This window comes from Homo sapiens, chromosome 2 (genome assembly GCF_000001405.40).
Source record: "Homo sapiens chromosome 2, GRCh38.p14 Primary Assembly".
NCBI classification, from domain to species: domain Eukaryota; kingdom Metazoa; phylum Chordata; class Mammalia; order Primates; family Hominidae; genus Homo; species Homo sapiens.
The window spans coordinates 52,569,375-52,574,301 of record NC_000002.12 but is presented as its reverse complement, the minus strand read 5'-3'; the positions used below and the strand labels follow the sequence as shown (position 1 = coordinate 52,574,301).

The window sequence follows — 4,927 nt, the reverse complement described above, 5'->3', positions numbered from 1 at the left end:
CTGCACAAAGCCTCAGCCCTGTGAAAACACCCAGAAAAGGAAGCAACTGATTGTACTCAAATTGCAATACAGTTAAAAGAACATTAGTTTACACAGATGAGAAAGAACCAGTGCAAGAACTCTGGAAACTCAAAAAGCCAGAGTGTCTTTTATCCTCCAAATGACCACGCTAGTTCTCCAGTAAGGATCTTAAGCAGGTTGAAATGACAGACATAGAATTCAGAATATTGGTAAGGACAAAGATCATTGAGATTCAGGAGAAAGTCAAAATTTAATCCAAGGAATCTAGGATTACAGTAAAATAATACAGGACCTGAAAGACAAAATTGCCATTGTAAGCAAGAGGCAAACTGATCTGATAGGGCGGAAAAATACCCTATAATAATTTTATAATATAATCACAAGTATTAACAGTAGAATAGGCCAGGCGCAGTGGCTCACGCCTGTAATCCCAGCACTTTGGGAGGCCGAGGCGGGTGGATCACGAGGTCAAGGGATCGAGACCATCCTGGCGAACATAGTGAAACCCAGTCTCTACTAAAAATACAAAAATTAGCTGGGCATGGTGGCGTATGCCTGTAATCCCAGCTACTCGGGAGGCTGAGGCAGGAGAATCGCTTGAACCCAGGAGGCGCAGGTTGCAGTGAGCTGAGATTGCGCCACTGCACTCCAGCTTGGCAACAGAGTGAGACTCCATCTCAAAAACAAAGCAAAACAAAAACACAGTAGAATAGATCAAGTTGAGGAAAGAATCTCAGAGCTCAAAGACTAGTTCTCTAGGCTAACTCAGCAGATGAAAATAAAGGAAGAAAAAGAATGAACAAAAATTCTGAGAAATATAGGCTTGTGTAAAGAGACCAAATCTACAACTCTACAACATTAGCATCCTTGAAAAAGAGGGAGAAAAAAGAAGCAACTTGGAAAACATATTTGAGGATATTATCTATGAAAATTTTCCCCAACCTCACTAGCGAGGCCAACTTTAAATTAAAAAATGCAGAGAACTCCTGCAAAATACTATACAAGATGACCATTCCCAAGGCACACGATGATTAGATTTCCAAGACAGGCATGAAAGAAAAAAAAATTGAAGCCAGTTAGAGAGAAGGGGCAGGTCACCTACAAAGGGAAACTCATCAAGCTGATAGTGGATCTTTCAGCACAAGCCCTACAAGCCAGAAGAGATAGGGGGTGTATATTCAGCATATATATATAATTTTGCCTTCAAAATTGTGTTTATTTCACTTTGCGTCTGCTCCGCGCTCTGCCGCCTCCTCCCTGGGGCGGCTTGGGACTCAGTCTCTACCTGACCACGGGCTGGGGGTGGCAGATAGGTTGGGGGACCAGGAACCGAGGAAGGCAGTAAGAGCTGGACAAACAGTCGGAAAATGCATGGTGGCGGACCATGCGCGCCCCTCCCCTGAGCCTGCTCGCCAGGCTTGGAGCTGATACTTCCCGCATCTTACAGCGGACGGCTTAGGCCCCGGCGGGGCTTCGAGCTAGGGAGTCGGTACAGGGAGGGTCTGCGGGGGCGGGGGCCTCACACCCTCCGATCCCAGCTCAGCCCGGGCCGGCGAGTGGGTGGACGCCCGGCTCGCGGCCTAGCGACTGGGCTTCGCGGGAGGTGGACAACCGGGGGCGGGCTGGGGGCGCTTGGCGGCATTGGAAGCTCAGAATCACAAGCTCGGCTATTGGAGAGGGACAGAGCGTGGCTGTCCCCGGGCTGGGGAGGCGCCGTCGGGATGGCTGAGCGGCAGGGTGCCGGCATGCCCGCTCACAGGCGGTCCATTCGGAAGGTGTTCTTGGTGGCTGGGTCCGCCAGAACCACGTCGGGGTCATTGAGCATGTGCAGTCCGTTCAGGGTCTGTCCGTCCAGGGTCAGGGGGTCGATCTTGAGTTCATCCAGGGGAAACTGGCTGTCGGAGTCGAAGCTGAGGTCGCCGACCCTGACCAGAGAGCTGGTCAGTTCTTTAAAGAGGCTGGGGGGCCGGGGGAGACTGTCCTGTCACTATGAGGATGATGTTGGGGATGCCACTGTGGCTGGTGTAGCCCAGCTGCTGCGAGTTCAGCAGGCTCCCGTGGCTGTGGGTGAGGGCTATCATGACCGCCTGCGAGTAGTTGAGCGTGGAGCCCCTGTTGTATAGGGAGCTGATGGCGTTCTCCATCGTGTTGAACTGCTCCAGCTGGTGGGACAGAGCATTGGCCTGCCTGAACGCCATCTGCTGCTCATAGTACGCGTCCCCAAACACGCTGCCCAGAGTGGAAGTGTGTTGCGGGGAGCTCCCTGGGGAGAAGCCTTGATTGGAGACTGGCGAGGTGGGAGACTGGTTGGCCGAGGAGCCGGGGCTAGTGCCGCTACTGCTGCAGAGGCGGCGCCGAGGCGATGTCGATCCCCATCGACGGCAGGCCGGGATTCTTCGTGGGGACTGGAAGAGAGAGGACGGTACCGTGACCGCGAGCGGGGGCGGCTGTGGCCCACGATTCAGGTTGGTGCTGGGCAACAGGGGCTGCCGGGGGGCAGGCGGACGGGCGCCTGTAGGGGCGGTGGGGTTGGCGGCTGCTGAGACCCAGGCTAAGGGGGCGGCGGAGGCTGGGGCTGCGGCAGCGGCTGCTGGGAGTCCGTCTGGGTGAAGAAGGCGTAGGGTACCTGCTGCTCCAGAGACAGGGCATTCAAGGCCACGGCCTGAGTGATGTATGACAGCGGGGACAGAGTGGGCGATGACTGCTGATGCCTCGTCTCTGTGCTCGGGACAGGGGGCTGACGCCGGCTGGACGGTGCTGCGGAGGGGAGCCGAGTGTACTCATCCCCTTGGCCGGCGCCGCTGATGCCCAGGTGCATCAGGTTGGCCGAGACGTTGTCGGTGCTGCTGGAGCTACTGAGTGCGGGGAAGGTGGGCTCCTCGGAGTCGAGCGGGGAAGGGAAGTGGATGTTGGTCAGGCGGTGCAGGGAGCCCACAGTATTGTGAATGGCGGAGATCAGGGCTGTAGTGTTTTCCTGGTCGGCGGACGGGAAGATGTTGATTCGTTGATTCCGCGCAGGACTTGGTCCTGGATCCCGTCTTCTTGGTTTCCCCACGCTTGCTTGGAAAGGTTTTTGTCTGCCTCTGATATGGTCTCTTCCATTCCTGGGACTGTTAACAGTAAGACTTTTTTCTGGTGCACGTCCTGGGACCCACTAGTAAAGGATTCTGGCTGCATGGGCGTCATTGTGCTCTGGCGCAGGGCGAGTCAGAATTGGTCCTTCTCCAGCTGGTGTCCGTGGGTGGCAAGAGGTACACGGTGCCGTATGGGCAGCTGTTGGCCTGCTGTCCGTGTTTGTCCTTTGACAGGTGCAGGCAGTGCGGGGAGCCTAGTCGGCCGCATTCCCGGTACACCCTGTTCACCAGCCCATGGTGCCTGGTAGTCAGGCTGGTGTCCAGGCCCAAGGATTGGAAGGGGGTCTGGAAGGGCAGGTCCACGGTGCCACTCCCGATCTGGTTCACGTTGAGCAGGGACCCGGCATAGTACTGGCCCCGCTTGGGCCCAGTTGCGGATACTGATATTTCTGGAGCTGGAGCCGTGGGGCCGCATCAGGCTTAGACCTTTCATGGCCTCCTCGAGGGCCGCTGTCTCCCCCGCGTGTTTCTCATTGTGCAGTGTGACCTTCTCGCTGAATATAGGTGATGAAAAGAAAAGAAAAATGCCAGCATTGCTATTCTATTTTCAGAAAAAAATACACTTTAGCCCAAAGATTTTAAAAAGACAAAAAGGGCATTACATAATGGTAAAGGAATCCATTTAACAAGAAGACCTAACTATCTTAAATATGTATGCACCCAACACAGCAGCATCCAGATTTGTAGAGGAAGTTTTTAGAGATCTCCGAAGAGACTTAGATAACCATACAATAATAGTGGGAGATTTCAACACTCCACTGACAGTACTATACATATTATTGAGGCAGAAAACTAACAGATAAATAGGACTTGAACTTGACGCTTGACTAAACGGGCCTGACAGGTATCTACTGAACTCTCTACCACAAAACAGCAGAGTATACATTTGTCTCATCTGCACATAATACATACTCTAAAATTGACCAGACAATCAGACCTAAAACCATCCTCAGCAAATTGGAAAAAAACACGATTATACCAAACACACTGTCAGATCACAGCACAATAAAAATAGAAATCTATTCTAAGAAAACACTCAAAACTATACGATCACATGGAAATTAAGCAACATGCTCCTGAATTTTTTTTGGAATAAAAATCCCTGTTTATTGAGTAAACAGTGAAATTAAGGCAGAAATTAAATTTTTTTTTAAATGAATGAAGACGAAGATACAACATAGAAGAATCTGGGACACAGTTAAAGCAGTGTTAAGAAAGTTTCTAGCATTAAATACCACATTAAAAATGAAAAAATATCTCAAATTAACCATCTAAAATCACACTTAGAAGAACTAGAAAACAAAGAGAAAACCAACCCCAAAGATAGAGGAAGAAATAACCAAAATCAGAGCTGAACTGAAGAAAATTGAAATGTGAAAAACCATACAAAAGACCAAAGTATAGAGGAGTTGGTTATTTGGAAGAATAAGTAAGATTGGTAGACTGCTAGCTAGATTAATAAAGCAAAAAAGAGAGAAGATCCAAATGAACACAATCAAAAATGACTAAGGGACATACAAAAACTCAGAGGCTACCACAAACACCACTATGCACTCAAACTAGAAAAGCTACAAGAAGTAAATAAATTCCTGGAAACATAACAACCTTCAAGATTGAACCAGGAAGAAATTGAATCCCTGAACGGACAAATAATGAGTTCCAAGGTTGAATCAGTAATAAAATGCCTACCAAGCAGAAAAATCCAAGGAGCAGATGGATTCATGACCAAATCCTACCAGAGTTATAAAGAAGATCTGCTGCCATTCCTACTG

The 4,927-nt window shown here is 50.1% G+C and overlaps 1 pseudogene; it reads right to left on the bottom strand.

Annotated features, from left to right (window-relative positions):
* Window positions 1-1,577: 1,577 nt before the first annotated feature.
* CRTC1P1 (CRTC1 pseudogene 1) lies at window positions 1,578-3,655 on the bottom strand (annotated as a pseudogene).